Genomic DNA, 24107 nt, shown 5'->3' with positions numbered 1-24107 from the left:
TAATGGCTGGAAGAGGCAGCAGCCACAGAGCAATGATGGAGAGTTGCCAAATCAGCCAGGCACTATGGCTCTTGCCTGTAATCCCAGCTTTTTGGGAGACTGAAGCTGGAGGATCACCTGGGCCCAGGAGTTCGAGGCTGCAGTGAGCGCTGTGTTCGTGCCACTGCGCTCCAGCCCGGATGACAGGGCGAGACCCCCGTCTCAAAAAAAAAAAAAAAAATTGAAAAGAGGGAGTTTCCAAGCCAGTGAAATGATGGCCAAGTGGCAGATGCTGCCTGTGCTTGGTGTCTGGCTGGGCGGTGCCTGTTTCCCTCGGGCCTCCTGAACCCTTACACCAACCTCACTGGCAGCAGGCACCAAGCTCGGGCCTGATGGAGGCCAAACCCAGCAGGTGCTGGCGCCTGGGTGTGGAGAGAAGACCCCTCAGAGCTGCCGTGTCCTCATTTCCTGGCTTCTGGGATGTTTTCAGTCCTGTGGCTGCTGGCACTGGGTGGCTGGCACTGTTGCCCAATGGCTCCTCCTCACGGACCTGCAGCTGCCTGCAGAGCTTCTCCTGTACTCTCTCATCTGGACCACTGCCTCATCCCCAAGTGCCTGGAGTTTGGGGAGACGGACAACTCGAAATAGGGATTCTGTAGCTGCTCAAGCAGCCTCAAGGGATGGCTGGGGACTTGGAGGAACCAGAGTCGTCATGCAGACTTTATAATTAGACGGAATCTAAGAGATCTTTGGGTTCACCGCCTTTCCATTCTACAGGAGAGGGAGATGAGGCCCCCATTGGGCAGGCCTTGCCAAGGGTGACCCCGACAGCTGGCAGCTCACAGCTCTTCCTGGAGAACCCCAGGATACCTGGGAAGGTGGGCTGGCCGCCCCACAGCCTGCCGCTAGGGGCTCTGTGTTCATAGGGCCTGGGGCAGCCTTTGAGCTCAGCATTGGTGTTATTGATCCAGGCCCTCAAAACCAGTCCTTGTTCTGTCTGGTCCCTTGTGAGCCTCATTTATAGTGGAAACTGGACAGAAACTAGCAAGAAAAAGCAGAAAGCCTCTGGAAAGCAGTGGGTGGAGGCCTGTGCGCATTCACACACAGAGCTCTCTGACGTGTGGCTCACCTCCCTGCACCTGTGACATTGTGTTTTGACTGGGCCCCAAGGTCAAGCCAAGGGAGGGGACCCTGATGGGGTAATTCCAGGCATTCACATGAGGAGATGGTAGGGTGCCACTCCTGGCCCCCTGAAATCACAGCTTCTGGGCAGGGACCATCTCTGCCTTTGGAAAATACCAGCCTGGCTGCCAGACGTTACAAACCCTCAGCAGGGAAATGGTGTGAGCTTTCTTCCCAGCCTCTGACCTGCTTCTCCTCTCCCTGGGTCTGTTGTAACCCCTTAGTCCATCTGAGGGGCAGCATCTTGGGCTGCCTCCCTGCCATCCTCCCTCCCCAAAATCAGCCAGCTCAGGGTGGACACGGCCTCTCTTTAATGGAAGGCATGAGGTGCTTTGACACAAGGAACCAGCTTAGTCAAGGAGGTACAGCCTCAGCAGCAGGTCAGGATGTCGTCCTCCTCCTCTGCCTTGGCCCCGGGGGAGGACAGGCGTGCTGGCCAGAGGGCTCAGAAGATGTCGGGGACGATATAATCAGTGTAGGCACCATCGATGAGTCCAGCCCCATTGTTGTGAATGAACCAGCAGGACACCTCGGCCCCATGCCACGGGTCCTTGCTGTAGTCTTTTTGCAAACCCCTGTGCAGAGACAAGTCAGCTGGGGTCACCCTTCGGACCAGTAGGGCAGCACCTCCCCAGGAAGCTCACCCCACCCATGTGACACCTGGAGGAAGACCTGGAAGAACTACAAAGTGGCCGAGGGCAGACGTGCTGGGCAAGCAGCCCACCCACCTGGTGACCGTGAGCCGGCGGTTCCTCACCACCATCGTGGCATCTGGCTTTGTGGGGTCAGAGCCTGGGTGGATGTCAGACACTTCAAAACCGATGGGGTGGAAAAATTGCCCTAGAAAGGCACATTGGAGACAGCGGTTACCATCTCGGGGACTTGCTCCTGCCCTGCACTCAGCAGGTGCTCACTGCGGGGTTAGAGCATTGCTGGACCGCTTTTTTTCCAGGGCTTGACTGTTTCTGCTAACAGTCCCAGCATGAAAAGCTACCTTTGGTTCACTTGCTATAGAGAAGTAGATACATTTCTAGGTGGTCCTACCTCCTGTCTTTTAAAACGGGATCTGTCTGGGGAGAGAGGTTTGAGGGCAGGTGCCCATAGAGAGCAGTGTCTGTAGAAAGGCCACACAGGAGCAGTGTGGTCAGTGACCCACCCTACTCACAAGGTTCCTGGGAACCCTCTGGGCCTTTCTTTTTGCGATCAGACCTCTGCCCCTCACTTGCTCCCAGGCTCGCTTAAGCGTTTGTTTCACTGTGTGTTTGCTCACAGCCTCACCAACACAGCCCCTCAGACGGCTCTGCTCCTTGGAGGCCACACTGGAGGTGGGCCTGTCCTGGTGCCCAGCTATAGAACTGACCGGTGGCCCCAGGTCCCACATGTCCTCTGGCTTCAACACCCTTCCCCACAGCCCTGCCAGCCTGGCCAGCCGTACCCAGCAGCCCGTGCGTCCGGGCTGACATCCGATGACTGTCCAGCACATAGAAGCCCAGGAAGTCCTGGTGGACCGAGCTCCCCTTCCACACTCGGTGCAAAACAACCTCAAAGGTGCCACCGTCGTCCACAGACACCACCAGGTTCCTCTTCTTGTTGATGGTCACCACCACCCTGCAGAGCCAGGTGGCCGAGAGGGCAGGTGCGGCTGCACTGCATCCCTCTCCATTCAGCTGCCCTTGTCATCTGGGACCCAACCCTTATGACCACGCCCCCACCCCATGGCCTTCATCCCCAGATGGCCGGCTGTTACCTGTTCCACGCCCCTCCCCACATGTTGCTTGGGGCCCTTGCAATGTGCCAGGTCCTGTGCTAAGCCCTCTGTGCAAACTGCATCATTCAATCCTCACTCCGAGCCTGTGAAGTCCCAGGCTCAGAGAGGTTAAGTAACTTGCCCAAGGTAGCACAGCTGGTAAGCAGTGGAGCCAGGACTTGGACTTCAGGCTGTCTAATATCAGAGTCCGTGTTCTGTGACTCCCACTCATCACCTGTGACCTCCACAGCAGACTCTCCCCACCTCTTCCTATAGCTCTGCTGCCCAGCATTGCTCTGGTGCTTGGCACAGTTTGTTGAATGAATGAATGAATGAATGAACGAATTAGTAAAGGAAGGAAAAGTCATGAGACAATGCAGACTAAGACATGCCAAATGAGAAGCCCAGAGAAATCTGGAGTTCAGCAGAGGAAGAGAGCAGGAGGGCTGAGGGGAAGAGGTGGCCTCTTTGCTGGGCCTGGGAGGATGAGCTGGCTTTGTTTGGTAGAGACAGGGGTGGCATTCAGAGCTAAGGTGCGGTGGGAGCACAGTTGCCATGCAGCTGGGCCCAGAGGACATATCCAGTAACCAAGGGAAATGGAGGGCTGGGTGGGCCATGGAGTCTGACATGTCTGCACAGGCCACATGGGTGTCACCCACAGACATGGCTCAGGGACGAGGGCCCTGCAGACTCAGCAGAGTCCTGGGCCCAGGCCACACCTCCCCCTGCATCTTGCCCAGGCCCTGGCAGGTTACCCGTCCTGCCGCAGCACAGCTTGGTCCCTCCAGGAAAACACAGGCCCACCAAAGCCGGGGTTCAGCGTAATGTTCTGAGGAGTCACTTCCAACTGAAAGTCCGTGGCAGGGTTTGCGATTCCCAGCCGCCCGAAGTACGTGCCGTCATGCTGCCCAGGGCTCCTGGCCTTGTTGCCAATGAGCTGTCCATTCACTGAGAAGCCTGCAATGGAGCAAGAGGGCATCCGGGTTGGGAAGGGGCCTGCCTGCCTTTGCTTAGCAGGATCATGCCTCCTTCCTAAGAGGCCTCTACGCCCTGCCTGTGCCACTCTGTCTTTGAGAGTCTCCTGCCTCAGGGTCTCCAGGTCTGGTCCCGCACACAGCACCACCTCTCCTTCCTCTCCACCCCTCCTGCCATGCCAAATATCCCATACTCAGCTCTCAGTTCTGGGTCCTAACGGAGGTCGTGCCTCCCCGAGAACAGGACCTAGCCTGCTCCTTCTCTGTGGCCCCAGCCCCTCACACAGGGACAGGCTCCCATTGTGCTGGAAATGCATTGTGGGACCTCTTCACAGAGGTCTCCGCTGACCTGGGCAGCCACAAAGCCCCCTTCCCACCCTCACGCTGCCAACCCAGCACGTCTCATGCTCTGAAATGATCATCTCAGAATGTTCACCTGTTTGTCTTCCCCTTCCCTAAACTCTATGAAAGCGGGACTATCTTGGCTCCCACTGCATTCCCAGCCCCTCGTTGGTGCACAACAAACACTTGCAGATGGACTAACTGGACAGGGAGGGAAGGAGACAGGAGGGAGCAGGGGTGAGAGAAGGAGAGGGAGCTGTTCCCCATAACCAAGGCACTGCTGGGAGAGAGGTGCTCTGCTCAGCCATGCTTCATGGGGAAGGTGGGGCAGGACTGTGACATATTTGCAGGACCTAGTATGAAATAAAAAGGAAGGGCCCCTTGTTTAGAAAGTGTTAAGGGTTTCAAGGCGGCAACGGAAGAGCATTAAACTGGCTGGGCACGGTGGCTCACACCTGTAATCCCAGCACTTTGGGAGGCCGAGGTGGACGGATCACCTGAGGTCAGGAGTTTGAGACCAACCAGGCCAACATGGTGAAACCCCATCTCTACTAAAAATACAAAAATAAACCAGTCATGGTGGCATGCGCCTGTAGTCCCAGCTACTTGGGAGGCTGAGGCAGGAGAATCACTTGAACCCAGGAGGCAGAGGTTGCAGTGAGCTGAGATAACGCCACTGTACTCCAGCCTGGGCAACAGAGCAAGACTCTGTCTCAGAAAAAAAAAAAAAAGCCCCTGTGTGCCTACCCCAGTCACATGCTGATAAAGCTGGCCCTGTGTAGGTGCAGCCAGGAGGATGGCGTGGGAAGGCAGCGGGCAGAGCCCAGCCAGGTGGATGGTGCCCAGGCAGAGGGCAGTGAGGGCCTTGGCCATAGTCCTGTTCCTGGCTGAATGTTGAGGGCAGAGGAGCCCTGGCCCTGTCTGGCAGAGGTGTGATGCCCGCCATACCTGTGTTGGGGTCCTGTACCAGGCTCAGGATAACACCAGGCTCCTCATTGATGTTGAAGCACAGGGTGTCCTCTTTCTGGGGCACGTGGATGATGAAGTGAGGGTCTGTGTCCACTGGGGGCACAGCATGGAATTCGTTAGATTGGACATCGGGCAGATGGGGCTGGCCAGGGGTTGGGGTTCAGCTAGGCAGGTCCCAGAGAGAGACAGAGAGAGAGAGACAGCCAGATAGGGTGGGTCCCAAACAGGGGTGTCCCTCAGACCCTTCCAAGGACTCACCGCCGGTCACTCGGTCTGGCAGCCGCTGGGTATTGGAGCTGGAATGAGTAGGAGAAGGCTGCAAGGCTGACAGCACGAACGCTGATGGGAGGGGGAGTGGCATTTAGAAGCGGGGCAGCCAGGCCTTCCCTGGAGCTGCTGATCCCTCTGATGACTCTTTCCTCACTGGTGGGGCTGGCCTGAGGCCACCAAGCAGGGATGTCCACTCAACATCACATGCCCTTGATTGGCTCCCGGGACACGGGGACAGAAGCTTGGCCTGGCATGTTTAGCTGGCCCCCTCTCTGTCTCCTCCCCCAGGGACCTCAGGCTGGGGAGGCCAGGCTGTTCAGAGGTCTGTTCTAAAGATTCCCAGTGACAAGCAGTGAAGACAGCTAGAACGGAGGAAGAAAGCCAACGGGGTGATCATCAAGGAGGGGTAGAGATGTGAATGGCCAGGATGGCTGCCACTTACTCCTTCTGGGTCCCAGCATCTCTGTAGAAGACAAGGACATATTATCGAAGACAGTGTCACCCACGGTGCCCCACACGAAAGGCATGCAGCTCTGTCCACAACAGGCCTGGGCCCAGCCGTCCCTCTGGGGGTCTCAGCCCTCCCCTGGGGTCCTGCCTCCTCACAGACATACACTCACACCAAGAGGGGACCAGTGGAGGCTGCTGGGGGTTCAGCCTGCACAAAAGCTCACAAAGCGCAGCAGGGAGTTCGCGGTGATGTGGAGAAGGGCGGCTCAGGGGACGGAAGAACGGGAAGGAGTGGAGTCAGGGAAGAATGGGGATGGGGAGCTGCGAGCCTGGGGCTGGAGCACCTGCCACCTGCCCAGCTACCGAAGCCCAGAACTGAAACTAATGCAATTTAAAACTCACCCAAAGGCGGAGAATCTGGAAGGGAGAGAAAGAGAAAATAATTAGAGCCCCAGAGGTTTTTGGCCCATGGCCTCTCCCTTCTGTAGACCCCTGCAGCCTATACCCTCTGAGGGCTTGTCGATGGTGGGCTTCAGGCCGTCCTGGTCCGCCATGCCCCTGATGCTCATGGAGGTCAGTGGGGTCACAAACCCATAGTCCAGCGACATCTGCAGGGCCTGGGATGACAGGTTGGCCCTCTCCTCCCTGTCCACCTTCATCCTGCATTCAAGACAGAGGCTGGCTCCAAGCCCCGACTTGCACGGCCCTCATCCTTTCACCTATCCATTCACTTATTCATTCATTCATTCATTCATTCATTCATTCGACACATAAGTATTAAGCCCCCATGGTGTCCTATGCAGTGGCTACATCCTCAGGGGCCTCCAGGTTTAATGATCTCTTACAGAGATCACTTGGAGATTCGGTGGGGTTGAGGGGCATGCCTCAGAGATACGCAGAGACGTTAACAGCTGTGAGATCTGGGTCAAGAGGTCTAACCTCGCTGAGCCTCTGTGTGCTGAGTGTGGGTAAATAGCAGGCTGCCTTGTGCCCTGGTGGGCCTGCCCGGACTGTTGACTGACTGGTTGATATTAACTCAGTGAGCAAAGCAGAAGAGGAAAGTAAATCTGACCTACTTGCCCCAGAACCACCCCTCCTCTGCTCACCTCCAAGGGGTGGGGGGACTCTGGGGTGGGCAGTGCCCACCTGGGGCAGCTGCAGGTGCCCTACCGCTTGGCCAGCAGCTCCTGGATGGTGAGGTAGGCCCAGAGGCGCTCGACGTGGTTCTCCAGCATGTGGCCACGCTCTCGGAGCAGTTTCTTCATCTCCTCCTCATCCACTAGGCAGGTTATACTGAATTCTTGTCCCTCCTGAGAGTTGAGGTACAGAGAGGGGTGGTGCACCATGATAAGCACGGCCCCTGGCTGGTGCTAGGGGCTCTGAGGGGCCCATTTCGTCTGGTATCTGCAGCTTCGTCCTCAGCATCACCTGCTTCCCTGAGCCTGTTCGCCTCATCCTATTCGTTGATTCTTGCCAAGCACCCTCTGCAAGCCAGGCTTGGCCTGGACCCTAGGGATCCCATGGAATGGGAGAACCAGGCCCTGCCTTGTGGAGTTTCTCTAGGGGAGGCCAATAAGCACCCGGCTGTTTCCACTATGACCCACTCCAAATGCCCACCAAATTCTAGGTGGGCTGCACCATTCAACTTGCCACGGCACACAAATGTGCCTCCTCCATCCAGCTACATTAACCGGGGCACCACTTCCCAAGGGCATCCTATGCACCAGCTGCTGCCTAAGGGTATTATATGGATTATTCCATTTACTCCACACAATGCTCTGATGCAGTATGGTACAGAAAAGGAAACTGAGGCCTAGGGAACTGGACCCCTTGCCCAAGGATGCCCAGCTGGTCAGGATGGAGCCAAGGTCCAGCTCAACTCTCCTTACTCAAAGCCTGAGTTCTGAACCTTCGACCACACTTAGGGCGTTGTCTGTGTCCTGGAGGGCAGGATCCAGGTCTCACATGCCTGTCCCCACCACACACAGGTGCACATACATGCATGCACTGCACCATGGCACAAAGCCTGGCACACAGTAGGTGTTCAGGAAATGGTTATCAAATGAGAAGGGAGAGGTTGGTCTCTTGCTCTCTTGCACCTTGGGATGAATGATGCGAAAAATAACAATTGGTCACTGGGGGCCGAGGGACTGCAACTGATAAAGGCCATATTGGCCCCATTCCAGCCAATCCAGCCCCCAGGATGCCTGTGTGGAGGGATGTTCAGGCCTGGGGTGTATGTGGCATGGTGGGGATGAGGGTACTACTCTGGGGAAAGAGAGGCCTCTGGGGGATGGCAGGAATGGGGAACAGTGTGGGTTTGGAGCCTCTAGGGTGCTGCCTGGCCTCTCCACCCTCCATGGCCCACCATTTACCCCATGGGCCTGCACATCAGCCTTGAAGCTGCTCTGTTTGTTGTCAGCAATGCGCCCGGCCACCACAATCTCTGAGCCTTCGTAGTACTGTTTATGGTGGTTCTGGGTCAGGGCCAAGACAGCATCCTGGGGGTACTGCAAATCCACATCCACCAGCAGGGGTTTGGCTACCTGGCTGTAGAAACCCTGCAGGGATAGAGGTTGCAGCCTTAGAGCTGAGCACCCTGGGCTCCTAATGGGAAGCCTGCCCACAAAGTGGAGTGTTGGGAATTCCCAAGTTAGAGAAGGAATTTGAGGGTCCGAGAGGTCAAGTAGCTGGCTCGAGGTCATGCTGCTGATTTTTTTTTTTTTTTCTGAGACAGAGTCTCACTGTGTTGCCCAGGCTGGAGTGCAGTGGCACAATCTCAGCTCATTGCAACCTCCACCTCCTGGGCTCAAGTGATTCTCCTGCCTCAGCCTCCCAGGTAGCTGAGATTACAGGCATCCACCACCACACCTGGCTAATTTTTGTATCTTCAGTAGAGACGGGGTTTCACCATGTTGGCCAGGCTGGTCTCGAACTCCCGATCCACCCACCTTGGCCTCCCAAAGTGCTGGGATTACAGGCTTGAGCCACCATGCCTGGCCCATGCAGCTGATTTGAACTCTATGCCAGAGCTTTATCTGCTCCTCTAGGCTGATGGGCAAACGGCCACCAAGGCAGGGCTCCCTATGGCATGCCATTGGAGGTACAGGGGGTTGTGAGGGGAGACCTGCAGCTGCTGGGTGGCATCATGGTCCTCGTAGATTCTCTGGGCCCGTCCGTTGTTCTCCATGGACATGACCTCCAGAAAGTTAAAGTCCACATTGTGGCCGAAACCCAGGTTGTAGAGCGGGAACCTGCCCCGGATGGCGTTGCGGACGTTCTTGAGGATTTGGGAACGGTCCGTCACCCCTGCAAGCCACACACCTGGGTAGTGACGGGATGCTGGCCCACAGGCATGTGGGGCACGAGGGGGCTCTGGGGAACACTCCCTGGGGCTCAAGCCTTCCATCTCAGAGCATCTCCAGGCTCCTGGGCATCCTGAGGCATCGCGTCCTCCTGGCTCTCCTGGGAGACTGCAGCAGCTATCAACAGCTCCTCACAGACCCCGCCCATCTAGGTGGGTCCATCACCAGCAGGTCTGATTCTGCTCGAAATCCTGCCATGGCTCCTTTGCCATGGACTGCGAGACCCTGCTGACCTTCCCACGCTTGTTTTACCCCATTCTGCACATGCCCACAGTTCCCGGGCAGGCCCTGCCAGTGCACACACCCTTTTTATGACTTAAGCTGCCTCTTCTGCCTGGGATCCCTTCCTGCCACTCTCCCCTCTTTCTAGACTGAGCTCAGGAGTCACCTCCTCCAGGAGGCCTTCCCGGACATCCCCCTGGGTCAGGTGTCCTTTGTCTATGGTTCCACAGCCTCAAGCACCCTGTTCTTTCAGGGCCCTCAGTATCTACTCCTGGATCTGCTTCCCCCAGTAGGTCCCGGGCTCTTTGAGGGCAGAAATATGTCTTGTTCCCTTGGTATTTCAGTCCCTAGCCCCTTGCTTAGCATACAGTAGGTGATAAATAAATAGTTCATTAAACTGTGAACAGAAGCATGGAATCTTGCCCATCTTCCAGGGACTCATACAGACCTGTGTCATTTAGAAACATCTCCAATTTCTCAACTCACAGGACAGAGGTACACCATAGAGCTCCCTCAGACTTTGTGGTCTGAGCTGTGTTTTTAGACCAGTGCTTGATTTTGCCCTGAGCTTTTCTGCCCCCTGATGGCATCTCCAATGGTTGGGTTTCCAACTTCAGCTTGCATGTCTCGGGTGACAAGGAGATCACTACCTCCCAAGGCAGCCCCCAAGGTGCTTACCCTCTGTGGGATCGCCATCTGTCAACATGATGAGTATTGAGGCATGGTTGCTGAGTTCTGGGAGGCTTTCCTGAACTTGGTTCAAGATCTCAATTCCCCGGAGCAAACCTCCATTCAGGTTTGTGGCTGCAAGGAAGAGAAAGCAGACCAGTGTATGCCCTCATTCTGAGGGGACAGAGGTGACATCAAGGTTGCCTGAGACCCCCACCCTTACCCTCATCCAGGGAAAAGCCCCGCACAAAGTCTTGAGCTGCTTGTAGGTTGGCCTCAGATGCTTGCACCAGCGAGCCCTTCCACGATTGTACTCGAGTCCCAAAAAGAACCAGGTCAAAGTAGTCCCCTGGCTGCATGTCCCCCAGAATTTTAAGGAGTGCCTCCTTGGTCTGCAAGGACAGAACAGTCAGTAGACAGACAGGGCCCCAGGGTGGCCCCAGGACAGCACCTTCCAACTCCAAATACCCATTTCAGAGATCCACAGGGTGGACAAGCAGGAGGAGATAGGACAACCAGGTGGCCCCGAGACAGGAGCATCCTGCCGGGCCTTGGGGTGGATGAGGGAGGTGGAGAAGGCAAAGGAACCCACCATGGGGAAAAGAAATAATCAGGAGTTCGGGAGGGGCAGGATTAAGAGAAAGGACCCCAGGAGCTGTGCTTCTAGAATACTCCTTGTCCAGCCATGTCTACACTGCACCATGGACAGGGCACTCCAAACCCTGTGGGCGGAGAGCTATTCCCTGCTATAAGATGCCTCCCCACGGACCACCGTAATTGTAGTGCACAGGTTTCCTCTTCTAAGCACTTCCCCCAGGGGGTAACTCCATGACCCTGCAGACACCATTGTCATTCCCATTTTTTGCCATTGAGGAGAGGTGAATGCACTTCCTCACGACTGCACAGTGAGGAAGCGATGCTGATTCCAGAGATGCTAACCACTGGGATTTCCTGTTAAATCACTCTGCCTCTGACCAGGAGGATAAATCCCAAACCAGACTCTGGCAGCAAAACTGGCATGTGGTGAGTGATGGGGCTGTGGAAGCTTCTGCTGGGTGAGCTGTTTCAAGCTGCAGCCTACCTGCTTCACTTTCTGGCCTCTCATGGAGCCACTGATGTCAATCACAAAAACCACGTTCTTGTTCATGTTTGTCAGGTTTTGGGGGGCAAAGAAGTGGGCAAAGTGGTTATTGGCCACCTGAAATAGAGGAGAACGAGTGAGGCCACTCTCACAGCACCCCTTGCCCATCCTCTGGGTGCTGAGCCAGAAGCTCAGGGCTCACCAGGAGGTCGCAGATCTTGTCTCGACTGACATCGTAGGTCACCTTGAAGTGCCCGTTCAGTAAGGATGTAGAGCATGTGGGGCAGGACTGCTGCTGGCTCACGGTGGGACGGAACAGCACATGACCCTGGAACCGTCGAGAGTGTGAGCCATTACTGGTCTGTGTAACCACAAACAAGATGTTTGCAAAGACAACATAAGAAGGCATGCGTGTGTGTGTGTGTGTGTTTGCACGGACAGAGAAACGAGTTCGGTGGGCCACTCACTCACCTAGCTGCTGAGAGCACACACCTGTAGGTGGTGGGAGAGATGACCCATTCCCTTGCTTATATGCTTCTGAATCATTGGGATTTTCTACAATGAACATCATCACTTTGGGTATATAAATAATAACAAAATAATAGCAATGTGATACATCTGACAACTCAAACTGTTGAGTGAAAAAGCAGCACTACAATACTGTGGTGAGAAATAAAAGCTGCCCAGGTTGACAAAGAACAAAGACTGGAAGGAAGGGTGCAGAATGGAAGCTGAGGTCTGGTTGGAGTTGGTGATGTGCTTGGGGAAGCTAGTGATGGTTTTTATTCAATACTTTCTATATTCCTGGACTTCATATATTTTTCTATAAAGAAATTTTTGTTTGTTATAAAAGTAAGGTAGGCTCATCAAAAAGAAGCAGAAGCAAAAGGAAGAAGAAGCAGCAGAAAAGAAGAGGAAGAAGAAGAGAAGATAGAAGAAGAAGAAGGAGAAGGAGAAGAAGAAGCAGAAGAAGAAGAAGAGGAAGAAGAAGAAGAAGAAGAAGAAGAAGAAGAAGAAGAAGAAGAAGAAGAAGAAGAAGAAGAAGAAGAAGAAGAAGAAAAAAAAAAAAAGAAGAGGAGGAGGTGAAGGAGGAGGAGGAAGAGGAGAGAAAGGATGGAGGATAAAATAGAACCTTGAAAAAGTCTTGGGAAGACAAGGACCCATCCCTTTGTTCCCCCACAGAAAGCAAGCATGTTTGCTAACACTCTTGAGGTGTCATATTTAGTTTAAAAGGAAACCCCTCTAAACTGTAAGAAGCACTTCTTTTAAATGAATTGTGGTGCAGGCTCTACATAAGTGGGAACTAAAGGATTTGTTCCTGGCTCGGGTTGGGGGCAAGTCAGGAAGCAGGGCATTGCCCATCCATACACCACACTCCTCCAGGAACCTGGGGTGGGGGTGAGCCAGGGGCTTCTGGGATTCCTGCAAATAGTGGCAAGCGACAAGTCGTTGGGTAGGCCAAAGGTCTTTCCAAACTTATGTTTCCAAGAAACCTGAAGCTTGGAGTCCTAACCACACCAGCATATGAGGTTTACTTATGTGCTGGATATTTCCCTGAATGCTCTCCCATGGGCGTGAGGCGGGCAAAGAGGGCACTGAGGCTCAAGCAAGCCAGCAACTCACCCTGGACCATGCAGCCCGTGTGTGGTGGAGCTGGAGCTGGCTCCTTCCCCACCTCAGCATGCAGGCTTTTGCTAAATTGCTCTGAGAACCAGGATAGCTGAGTTCTCCTAGGCACCAATCACATGACACCAGCTTCTCTCATCCTGAGGGCAGACCACAGCCCCTGCCTGGTTTCTGGGCTAAGGCTGGACATTCCATAAGGGGTGGGCAGGCTGAGAAGTCTCCAAAGGGCCCACCACCACCCCCTTGCTATCCCATGTACCTTTTTTCCTGAGAAGGACTTCTTGATAGTTTGGGCTGCCAGTTCCTTCGGCAGGAAAGAGGCCTGGGCATCCAGCTTGCTGATCCCCTGGGGCTCGAAGATGTCCACATCAATCTGCAACATTGAAGCAAATTATTTTTTTAAAAAAAAAGATGGGATCTTGCTTTGTTGCCCAGGCTGGCCTCAAACTCCTGGGCTCAAGCCGTCCTCCTGCCTCAGCCTCCCACGTAGCTGGGATTATAGGCTCACACCACACTGAAGCAAATTCTCTACCAGGGCTCCCACTCACCAAGTCTCAGCCAAGAGCCAGCATGTGTCCTGGCCACCTACTGTGTGCAGCACCCACCCAGCCCTGATCACAGGGCCTGGTACTCAGTAGGCACTCCAAAAATACTGACCAAATGAAGGTGTACATGCCTGCATCCCTCAACTCAGCCACCACTTAGGTGCCAGCAATAATTCCAGGCCCTCAGGCTGCGCGGGACTTTCTAGTTTACAAAATTACCTGGACATTCAGTACTTCTCGTGATCCCTGTGGCGGTCCTGGGACTCACAGAAACCCCCCGTCTAGCAGATGAGCAAACCGAAGCTCAGAGATAAAGAGGAAGTTAGAGAATTCAGGGAGTTCCCTGCCCAAGAAGAGCACATCAGAGCTCACCCTGAGGGGTTAGTCCCCATCCCTGTGTTCTCAGGCCTGGGTGGTGACACATGGTGGGTGCTCAACCAGTGTTGGGAGCCATGGTGACGGAGAGAGGGGCAGGACCCCTGCCCCGGGACCTGTGATCTACCTCAAAATGATGCACCAGCTGCTTGGGCTTGACTTTGATGACAATTTCATACTGCATATGGTTTCTCTTCAGCACTTCCTCATAAGTCAGCTGAAACGTGACCTTGCTCTGGGGATTGACGGTGAGGTGGATGGTGAATTGCTCCATAGTTCTCCCCGAGGCCCTGGATGTGCCACCAGAGGCAACAGCAGACAGACAGAGGGTAAATGACATTTGGGTCCTTGTCACCTAACATGTGGCCCACAGAATTTATTTCTCTTAGATGAGTGTTGCTCCCAGGTTTCCCTGGACCTCACAAATGTGTTAGCTGGCTGGTCAGGGTCAGGGCCCAAGATGGCGGGGGCCCACTTCTCCCAGTGGCATATCTGGGAAAAGGGCAACTGCACGGCAGCCTGTTCAGTGCACCGTGCTGGCATCTGGGTTTGGGCAGTTTGCTTACCCTTCCATCATCCTGGGCTGTTCTCCACTAAAGCCACCTTGCAGCCATCAGACCTGTCCTGGCTGGGGAGGGCAGCCCTAGAGATGAGACCAGCAGGCCCAGAACTCACCTGACAAGGCCGGCATTCTCTCCTGAGATAGCTGCTTTCCGGTACTGCTTCCATGCAGTCACCTTGTCCTTTATGTCTCCGATAAATGCGTTTCCATCTGCTGTACTGCAGGGAGGGAAGGACACCCTCAGGAAAGATGAGCCTCCTGACCACACAGGTCCTGAGAGGGCCTGTCCATGTGAGCCCTTGGATAAGGACGTCTCCTGACGAGCCTTCCACTGCCCATGGTGGAACTCAGGGGTCCATGGGCAATGAGGTGAGCAGCCCAGGTCAGAGGCCAGCAAGAAGCCTCAGACTCTGGCCTTGGCTCCTTGGGTTCTAGCCTGAAACATGCTGTGATGGGTCCCAGTTTGCCTCCAAGATGGGAGCCAAGCACAGACCTAAAGGGCTTCTTCCTCCCCTCAAAGCCAGGGCTGGTCTGTGGCCCTTCTAGAATGAGGAGATGCTCTGCGTTATCTGGCCACTCCGATCCTTGTTCTTAAGCTGGGACTAGTAAGCGGCACCCCTGGGAGAAGGCATGGGAGTTGGGCAGGCACGCACACGGCAAAGTCACTGATGAATGCTGTCTTGGGGATTTCCAGGTCGAAGGCCACTTCCCTGGCTTCATTGGCAGTGTTGACCACTTGGCTGGTGACAACATAGTGGGCGAAGCGAGAGGTGACTTTGCAGTTGACTTTCAAACTCCGGATGAACACGCCATCGACAGCCTAAAGTGAGACATGAAGGAGCTGTGGCCTGAGACAGGGCCTCTGTCAGCGAGGGACTTCCTGTGGTACGGGGACTTGGCACTTAGCCCCAGTGCATGGTGCCCAGATGCAGGAAGAACAGACCGCAGGAAGACCCCTGCTCTCTGGCTGAGACCGTGCTGTGGGATATGAGGTGAGATGGGAACAAGTCCCCATTTCTAGGACCCTGGAGAGTACCCCATGCCTATGGCCCTGATAGAGGGGTCCACCCCTGACAGGTTGGGGAAAGCAAGCCTGTAAAAAGGGCTCTGTCACAGACCCCTTTGCCAGGACTCTTACTCACGGTGTCCACAGCCTGTCGCTTCTGCAAAACAAAATCAGGGTCAAGTGTGAGAGGAAAACTCAGGGGACCACCGGCCTGCCAGTTCAGGGATGGGAGTGGAACACAGCCTGTGTCCTCTGCCCCTTAGCTTCACCTCCTTGGTGGTGCTGGGAGGTCACCTCTCCACTCAGAAGTGGTGGAGGTGGTGGGGGTGACCCTGGCCCCTTGAATGGGGGTCTTGTGTCCCGCCCGGGGCCTCATCCAGGTTCAGCTGCCTATTTCTGCCCTGTGGGCTTAGCCATATACCTCGCTGCTCTTGGACCTGCCTGTAGCCGAGCCCAGGGCAGGCATGGCCTGCAGGATGAGGAGAGATACCAGGTACATGCACAACAGCAGCCCCCGAGGCCCCATGGCACCGTCCATGCTCTAAGGCTCCTGCTGCCCTGTCACCTCAGTCAGACCAGTAATCAATACAGTGCTGGATAAACATGGATTAAACATTAGACAAGGTGCAGGCAAATATTAATGACAAAAACCGCAATGACTTTTGCATCAACCTAACACATTTAGAGGAATCAAAATTTGGCAGTGGAAGCTTTTTGCCTCAGGGGGGTTCCCAGCTCTGGGTGGTTAAACTACTGATGGGGCTCCAGACCATGTCCCTCTGTGTAGAACTGCGCTTAGCCTATGTGAACTGTGAGGATCCCCGGATGGCTCATCTCATCCTCGGGCTGGCACAAGGCAGCACCAGTGACACGGTGACATGTGGCAAGAAGCAACAGTTAAAAATGGATTTCTAAACTTCATTAGGCTTTACTTTTTTTTTTTTGAGATGGAGTTTTGGTCTTGAGTGCTAGAGTGCAGTGGCAGGATCTTGGCTCAGTGCAACCTCCACCTCCTGGGTTCAAGTGATTCTCCTGCCTCAGCCTCCCGAGTAGCTGGGATTACAGGTGCACACCACCATGCCCAGCTAATTTTTGTATTTTTAGTAAAGACGGCTTCACCACATTGGCCACGCTGGTCTCGAACTCCTGACCTCAGGTGATCTGCCCGCCTCAGCCTCCCAAAGTGCTGGGATTACAGGAGTGAGCCACTGGGCCCGGCCAGGCTTTACTTTCAAATTTCTTTTTTTTTTTTTTTTTTAAGACAGGGTCTCCCTCTATCGCACAGGTGGAATACAGTGGTGCGATCTTGGCTCACTGCAGCCTCGACCTCCCAGACTCAACTGATCTTCCCACCTCAGCCTTCTGAGTACCTGGAACCACAGGAATGTGGCACCACACCCAGCTGATTATTTTTATTTTTTGTTGAAACAGGGTTTCAGTCGGGCGAGGTGGCTCATGCCTGTAATCTCAGCACTTTGGGAGGCTGAGGGAGGCAGATCACTTGAGGCCAGAAGTTCCAGCCCAGCCTGGGCAACATGGTGAAACCCCATCTCTACCAAAAATACAAAAATTAGCCAGGTATGGTGGCATGCGTCTGTGGTTCCAGCTACTCAGGAGGCTGAGGCAGGAGAATAGCTTGAGCCTGGAAAGTGGTGGTTGCAGAGAGGCAAGATTGTGCCACTGCACTCCAGCCTGGGTGACGGAGCGAGACTGTCTCCAAAAAGAAAGAAAGAAAAGAAAAGAAAGAGAGACAGAGAAAGAAAGAACAGAAAAGAAAAAAGAAAAGAAAAGAAAAGAAAAAAGAAAAGAAAGGGAGGGAAACAGGGTCTCACTTTGTTGCCCAGACTGTTTCAAAATTCTTTCAGCATCAACACACTTTTCAGTCATGCTTTGGCCAGGGAGGCAGACACGGTGGCTTAGAAAGTGTGTGACATCCAGCCATGCTGGTGATTCTCACAGTGCTAACCTGGTATTAGCTCTGTCAGAGACAGTCTGGACGGTCGGGGTGAGGCATGATGGGAGATCTGCGCTTTAGGCCAGTTGCTTCACCTCTCTGAGGTTCTTACCCAGTTCTAGAAAGAACAGAAGTGAGCTTCCTCGTTCCTGCACCTGGGCAGGGAGGCCTGGCAGATAAAGGGGAGCTGAAGATGAATGACATGTTTTCATAATCGAGGACTCATTTGTGTCATGCATTCCTCTAAACCCTTTATTGTCTAATTTTATCCTCGCAACGTTCCTGGGACACTGGCCCCATACCAAGAGACAGAACAGGGATTCAAACCAGGTCTCTCAGGCTCTAAAGCCCAAGGCCATCATGTAATGACAGAGAAGCAGACTTGAAGATCCTAGAGACAGGAGTTCCCAGAGACCCATCTTGCACCTGCAGTTTCTTATTTTTTTATTGCCAAACCCACCCTGTTCCCCAAAAACCACAGCATACTGGGCAGACAGGGCCCCTGGCCAGTCTAGTCTGTGACCTGGGTTGGGATGTGCTGGCTGCTGTGACCCTGATAAGAGGAGGGGGCCCAGAGCCCTCACTGATCTCTGTTTGCTTGTCCTGGACTTTGTCTCACAGAGCAGCTTCTGGGAAGAGTTTATTGTCCTTAGGCCACGGTCACCTTCTGGCCTGTCTTCTGGCCTTTGTAGAAGAGAAGCTGGATCGACATGACAGTGTACATTTGAAGTTCTGCTTATTTCCTGCACCAGTATCGACCAAGCCCTGCAGTGTGTTGGGCACAATGCCAGGCACTGAGAGGCCACCATACAGAAACCTGAGTGCCCTGCTGTGTTCAGTGAGCTGATGTCAGGGGAAAAGGGAATCAGACAAGTCAAAGGGAGCCCACTGAATCCCAAGGAGTGATGAGAAGCTGAAGAGATAGAAATTTGGAGGGGCAGAGGCTCATCTCCTGCAGGGATTAGGAGAAGGTTCCTGGATGAGGTGCCTGGAAAAAAGAGCAGTGCTTGGGAAGGGGAAGGCGGGAAGGGAGGGAGAGAAAAGCAGACGGGCAGGTGGGATGTATGCTGTGGGAAGGTAGAGGTGTCTGGGATGGGAGCAGGAGCTGATGAAGAGGGTAGGGAAGGTGGCTGGGAAGGGGGTTGGGACCAGCTGGCGCAGGGGTCTGAAAGTGATTAGCCTTTTGGGTGGGAGATACTTAAGATATTTTAAGCAAGGGTGTGATGAGTTCAAGACTGGGCTGTTGAGAGATGGCTAGCACCAAGCCTGGTCCATGTAAAGTGCTAGAAGCATGTTTGCACAGGGGGAGGGTGGACAGGAGATGGGGAGAGCTAACTATGACCTGTGCCTGTCATGCTTCTTAGCATCACGTCCGAATTCATTTACTGCTCACAACTCCCCACAAGAGACAGATATTATTGTTACTATTATCCTCATGGTACAGAGAAAGAGACGTTGGCCCACCATATGCATGTGGGAGGTGGGGGCCAGGGTGGACAGAAAGCAGCTATGGTTGCTGAGGATTGAGAATGGGGAGTGTAGCTGTGCTGCTGGTGCCGGTGGGACAGCACATGGGCCCAGACCTGCTCTGAGCGCCACCCACACACAGCCAACTGTCTGCTTGATGTGCCCACAGCCCCTCCATCTGGTATGTCCAAACTGAACTCCTGACCTTTGTCTCCTCCTCCCCACACCCCGTTACTAAGCCAGATCTTCCCCCTGTTGTCCACTCCAGTCAAGGCCACCGCCATCTAGTTGGCCATCCAAGCCAGAAGGCTGGGTGGCATCCTGGGTGCCTCAGTCTCCTTGACCACCTACCCCACCTCCCACCCTCTGAATATCCCTCTAATCCATTAACTTCTCTCCCCATCCCCCGTCACCACCTAGTTCAAGCTGCCCTCATCCCTCATTTAGACGGCTCATCTCCTCCTTCTGCTCTGCTCCAGGCAGCAGCCAGAGTCACCATTTAGAAAGGTCAGTCTGCCGCAGGCCTTTCCCTGTCTCGCACACCCTATCCTGAGTGGTATGGCCCCTGCTGACCCCTCTATGTCACCTAGCCCATGGCCCCTCTGAGTCTCTCAGCTTCAACTGCAGAGACTTCTTTTAGATCCAGGTAGGCAGGTGCTTCTCCATTCATTCATTCAGCAAGCGGCAATTCCTTCATTTATACCTGCTGGGTTTAGGGTGTTGAAGCAGACAGGCCTGGCCTCGTCCTCAGGGAGTTCACATTGCGGTGTGGAGGTAAAGTCACAAAATGAATCCACTGGATCTTAGCACATGTTGCTCCTCTGCCTGAAAAAGTTTTTGTTTAAACTTCCACTCATGCGGTGCTTGCTTGGGGCAACCTCTCCTGGATGGCCAGGCTGGGCCTGGCGGCTTTTCTGAACAGTACTGACCTCAGTTGGCAAGGGTAGCTTGTTAGTATGCATGGCCGTCTCCCTCTTCGACAGTAAGCCCCACATGGGCAGGCCCTTGTCTGTCTTGTTCATAGTTGTCCTCCAGGTCCAGGCTAGTAGACCCTTGCTAAATGTCTGTAGAATGAATGATAGGTTTTTTTTTTTTTTTTTTTTTTTAGAAGGAGTATTGCTCTGTCGCCCAGGCTGGAGTGCAGTGACATGATCTTGGCCCAATGCAATCTCCGCCTCCCGGGTTCACGTGATTCTCATGCCTCGGCCTCCTGAGTAGCTGGGATTACAGGAGCAGTGTGCCATAATTTTTTATTGTGGTAAAATATACAAAACATAAAATTTATTATTTAACCATTTTTAAGAATACAGTTCGGTGGCATAAGTACATTCATGTTTTGCATCCATCACCACCATCCATCTCCAGGACTTTTTCATTTTCCCCAGCTAAAACTCTGCACCCATTAAACACCAACCACCAATTCCCTCCTCTCTCCAACAACTGGCAACCACCATTCTACTTTCTGAATCTATGACTTTGACTACTACAGGTACCTCACATAAGCGAAATCATACTTTTGTCCTCTGTGACTGCCTTATTTTGTTTAGCATAATGTCCTCAGGGGTCGTCCATGTTGTAGCATGTCAGAACATCCTTCCTTTTTAAAAATTTATTTATTTTGAGACAGAGTCTCACTCTGTCACTCAGCTGGAGTGCAGTGGCAGGATCATGGCTCACTGCAGCCTCAACCTCCGAGGCTCAACTGATTCTCCCACCTCAGCCTCCCAGGTAGCTGGGACTACAGGCATGCGCCACCACACCCAGCTAATTTTAAAAATTTTTTGTAGAGAAGGGGGTCTCACTGTGTTTCGTAGGCTGGTCTCAAGTGATCCTCCCACCTTGGCCTCTCAAAGTGCTGGGATTAGGTGTGAGTCATAGTGTGTGGCCTCTAGAGCACTAACTTTAAAAAGCTACAATTACAAATCCTTCCTCTGTCCCTCTGAGATATATACCTATGTATTTCCTACAACCTAGGAATGTCTTTCTCAAGGACCTGAAATCCATTCCTTTGGAATGTAATCATCATAAAGGTAGGGCTCATGTCTCCCAGTCTATGTGGGAGAATAGAATCCTAACTTCCCTAATTGCCAGCTAGCAGACACAGTTGGCCTAATCACATTTACGCTAAGCACTCCTTTTAATTTTTCACTTCCCAGACTCTAAGTGAGCCCCTGCATGCTCCCCTGCCTACTCCCTTATTCTTCCTTTGGAATGCCCAATCACCCCTGCGCAAATGGAATGGAGTTCAGCTGCTTCCCCTACTGTCAGTAGTTACTGAATAAAATCTATTTTCATCATTTTAATGCCTGGCTTTGTTTATCTTTAATAATATCATTAACTAGAGTTCAATCTTTATTTATGGTTCTTTTTGTTTGGTTTTCTAGTGAAGATGAAATTGCTTTGAGTAAAATGTGCAAATACTAAATGTACCATTAGATAATTTTGACAAATTCATACACCCAAATCTCCTATCAAGATATATATCAAGGATGAGGAGAAATTTGAACCCCTGTGGATTGCTAATGGGAATGTAAAATGGTTCAGCTTGCTGTAAAAAATGGTGTGGTGGTTTCTCAATACATTAAACTAGAATTAGCATATGATCCAGCAATTTCACTTCTGAGTGTATACCCAAATGAATTAAAAAGAAAGCAGGGACTCAAACAGATATTCGTACACCCATGTTCATAGCCGAATTATTCACAATAGCCAAAAGATGGAAGCTATCCGTGTCCATGACTGCATGAATGGATAAACAAATTGTGGTGTATACATATAATGGAATATTATTTGGCCATAAAAAGGAAAGAGGCCAGGCACGATGGCGCACACCTGTAATAACGGCATTTTGGGAGGCCAACGTGGGTGAATTGCTTGAGCCGAGGAGTTCAAGACCGGTCTGGGGAACATAGTGACACCCTGTCTCTGAAAAAAAATAAAATAGGATTAGCCAGGCATGGACGTGTGTGCCTGTAGTTGGGAGGATGGCTTGAGCCCAGGAAGTCTAGGCAGCAGTGAGCACCATTGCACCACTGCACTCCAAGCTGGGTGGCAGGGCGAGACCCTGTCTCAAAAAAAAAAAAAAAAAAAAAAAAGGAAAAAAAGGAAGCGCTCTGGGAAAGGGAGGCTTTGGCTGGAACAAATGGTGAATTCTTTTGGCACCCCTGAGCTTTCTTGGGCAGGCATTTTAAAGGGGCCTAGGCCCACCTAGAGATCCGCCCTTAGGCTGTTAACTTAGCATGATGCCATGTTAGAGTTTAGTCAAGTCTCTTAGTGCAGTGGTTAGGGTAGTCGTTAAATGCTGAGGAGTCTTTGTAGTTCTCAATTAGCAGGCGAGTTTTTAGGGATGAAAGGTACTGATAATTTACTTTGAATGTATCAAAAAATAGGATGGATTGCTGGATGCAGAGACGGCATGTGATAAAGCGGATACAGCAAATGTTACTGGTAGAGAGTCTGTCACCCAGTCATTAGAACATGAGCTCCAGGAGGGCAGGGACTTTGTTGGCCTGGCACATAGGCGGTCAACAAATATTTGCAGAATGAACGAACAATACTTGTAACGGCCTTAGGACAAACAAGTGCACAAAAAGAGGAAGCTTTCCCTGACTCTGTTGTGGCGGGGATCCGGACGGTGGAACGGACGCACAGAAAGTGCGCGGAGCCTGGCGGAGTCGCTCTGGCCTCCTGGAGCCTCTGCTCTATGGCGGGTCCTCCCGGGGCTGCGGAACCTCTCTGGCCGCTCGTGGCGTCCGCTCTATGGCCGTCCTTTGGGGACGCAGGAGCATGCGCAGAACTGCTCCCGGCCCGGATCGCTATGGCAGCGGCGTCGTCGCGGGCCGGGCCCCAGCAATCCCGCCCGGGCCCGGCTGCCTCAACAGCCGCCCCCACTGCCCCCTCTCGGGCATGAACCGAGCTTCTTGTTGCCGCCCGCTGCCCTACCCGCCGCTGCCGCCGCATCCCGACTCTGGGCCAGCGCTGGGAACATGCCCCTGGCCGCCTACTGCTACCTGCGGGTCGTGGGCAAGGGGAGCTATGGAGAGGTGACGCTTGTGAAGCACCGGCGGGACGGCAAGCAGGTCTGCAGGGGTGGGGCCCGGCAAGGGGCGGGGGCGGGCAGAAGTGCGCCGAGGGCGCCGACCGGTAGATTAGGTCGGGGGTGGTCGCAAGAGGCTCATCTCGGATGGCGTTTCCTCAGGGAAATGGTCCCAGACCAAGACGAGGCCTGGCCTCCCTGTAATATGCGCCCAGAACTACTTCTACTTCTTTGTTGTGTTAAATTTTTTTCCTTTTAATTTTCATTTTCTTTAATTACAATTCTAAGTTTTATGTAAAAATTTTCAGTCTCTGCCTATCTACTTCTTTGTTGTACTAATTGGCATGCGTGATCTACACACCTTTCTCCCAACCCCGATACTCTCATGAGAGCCGGTATCATGCATTCCCAGGACTTAATACAGCGCCTAGCAAGCATTATTCCTTGAATGAAGGGCCCCAAACGTCTCTACTGTAGACTGCTGGATTCACTTAAAACTCGACTCATTTTCTTCCCGCCAAACCTTCTCTCATGTCTTCCGTTTCAGTGAATAGTGACACCAACCCACCAGTTGCCCAAGCCGGACACCTGGAGTCATTTTTAAGCCTCCCCACGCACCCCAACACTGATTATATTCATCTATCACTAAGACAATAGGCCTCCTCTCATCTCTACTGCTACCACCCCAATCCAGGACACCCTGTTGTCTCTAGCAAAGCTATGGCCACGGTTTCCCAACTGGTCGCCGCCACTTGACTTGCTTTTCTCCAATCCATCACTTTCACTGCAGCCTCAGTGATCTTTCTCAAATTTAAATCTGATGTTGTCACTCCTCTGTTTAAAACACTTTATCCCATTACTCTCAGGATAATGAACCAATTATTCAATGTGGTTTATTAATAGGGTGACAATATAATGTACAAACTGGGACAATTTTGAAACTGAAAGGCATTATTAATAGTTACACCAGGACAGTAGGACTGCTCCAGGCAAGCTGAGAAGAGATGTTCCCCCTAAATATAGGGCCCAATTGCCTGTTCTTCCTTGTCTCTGGTGCTAGTTGCTTTGCGTGGAACACAAGCTCATGCATAAGAAATTTATTCAGTAGGCATTGGGGGAATCATTGGATTTTGGGGCTGATGATAGGGAACTAGCAATAGCTAGTTATTTGAGCTTTAGTTTACACTTCACAAAACACATTTATCTATGTGTTGAAGAAATGAATTGTATGGTCTTTGAAATGATTGAGGGCAATGTATTAGGTATTAGAGGCTATTGATTTCTTT

General features: G+C 52.8%; 2 protein-coding genes across 15 annotated transcripts in view, besides 5 other annotated features; one reads left to right on the top strand and one right to left on the bottom strand.

The window, feature by feature from the left end:
• On the bottom strand, nucleotides 1450-15919 carry ITIH1 (inter-alpha-trypsin inhibitor heavy chain 1). 4 transcript variants are annotated; one of them, NM_002215.4, is made up of 22 exons: nucleotides 15786-15919; nucleotides 15501-15521; nucleotides 15012-15178; nucleotides 14472-14576; nucleotides 13924-14086; nucleotides 13136-13249; nucleotides 11453-11578; nucleotides 11251-11367; nucleotides 10393-10561; nucleotides 10179-10304; nucleotides 9041-9222; nucleotides 8289-8474; nucleotides 7084-7223; nucleotides 6419-6573; nucleotides 6316-6330; nucleotides 5906-5926; nucleotides 5452-5532; nucleotides 5173-5286; nucleotides 3664-3865; nucleotides 2597-2769; nucleotides 1890-2001; nucleotides 1456-1736 (listed from the first exon to the last, which is right to left on the bottom strand). In NM_002215.4, the coding sequence occupies exons 1-22, from the start codon at nucleotides 15900-15902 to the stop codon at nucleotides 1607-1609; spliced, it is 2736 nt and encodes a 911-aa protein (NP_002206.2). In that variant the 5' UTR covers nucleotides 15903-15919; the 3' UTR covers nucleotides 1456-1606. The 4 variants fall into 4 exon arrangements, with proteins under 4 accessions (NP_001159907.1, NP_001159908.1, NP_002206.2 ...); NM_001166434.3 differs by lacking the exons at nucleotides 15501-15521; nucleotides 15786-15919 and having other exon boundaries at nucleotides 14852-15032; NM_001166435.2 differs by lacking the exons at nucleotides 13924-14086; nucleotides 14472-14576; nucleotides 15012-15178; nucleotides 15501-15521; nucleotides 15786-15919 and adding an exon at nucleotides 13425-13597 and having other exon boundaries at nucleotides 1450-1736.
• Nucleotides 13813-14102: an enhancer, noted in NCBI's record as "active region_19948". NCBI's record gives its function as "activates an Ori minimal core promoter by ATAC-STARR-seq in GM12878 lymphoblastoid cells {active_cell/tissue: GM12878}" and the evidence as "EXISTENCE:reporter gene assay evidence [ECO:0000049][PMID:35858748]".
• Nucleotides 14087-15286: an enhancer, noted in NCBI's record as "BRD4-independent group 4 enhancer chr3:52812248-52813447 (GRCh37/hg19 assembly coordinates)". NCBI's record gives its function as "activates an origin of replication core promoter dependent on BRD2, P300/CBP, MED14 and CDK7 cofactors, and independent of BRD4, by STARR-seq in HCT116 cells {active_cell/tissue: HCT116}" and the evidence as "EXISTENCE:reporter gene assay evidence [ECO:0000049][PMID:35650434]".
• Nucleotides 22284-22801: an enhancer, noted in NCBI's record as "H3K27ac hESC enhancer chr3:52804733-52805250 (GRCh37/hg19 assembly coordinates)". NCBI's record gives its function as "activates a minimal SCP1, AML or CMV promoter by ChIP-STARR-seq in primed H9 embryonic stem cells {active_cell/tissue: H9 hESC(primed)}" and the evidence as "EXISTENCE:reporter gene assay evidence [ECO:0000049][PMID:30033119]".
• Nucleotides 22447-22496: an enhancer, noted in NCBI's record as "active region_19947". NCBI's record gives its function as "activates an Ori minimal core promoter by ATAC-STARR-seq in GM12878 lymphoblastoid cells {active_cell/tissue: GM12878}" and the evidence as "EXISTENCE:reporter gene assay evidence [ECO:0000049][PMID:35858748]".
• Nucleotides 22578-24107, top strand: part of NEK4 (NIMA related kinase 4) — a 62497-nt gene continuing 60967 nt past the window's right edge. For all 11 annotated transcript variants that reach the window (NM_001193533.3, NM_001348414.2, NM_001348412.2 and 8 more), the window contains exon 1: nucleotides 22578-22864. In NM_001193533.3, the coding sequence (NP_001180462.1) occupies nucleotides 22772-22864 (93 nt within the window). In that variant the 5' untranslated portion in view covers nucleotides 22578-22771. The remainder of the gene's footprint in view (nucleotides 22865-24107) is intronic.
• Nucleotides 22657-22766: a silencer, noted in NCBI's record as "silent region_14453". NCBI's record gives its function as "represses an Ori minimal core promoter by ATAC-STARR-seq in GM12878 lymphoblastoid cells {active_cell/tissue: GM12878}" and the evidence as "EXISTENCE:reporter gene assay evidence [ECO:0000049][PMID:35858748]".

Source organism: Homo sapiens, chromosome 3 (assembly GCF_000001405.40).
Source record: "Homo sapiens chromosome 3, GRCh38.p14 Primary Assembly".
In the NCBI taxonomy this organism is placed as follows: Eukaryota; Metazoa; Chordata; class Mammalia; order Primates; family Hominidae; genus Homo; species Homo sapiens.
This window is presented reverse-complemented; position numbering and strand designations above follow the sequence as displayed.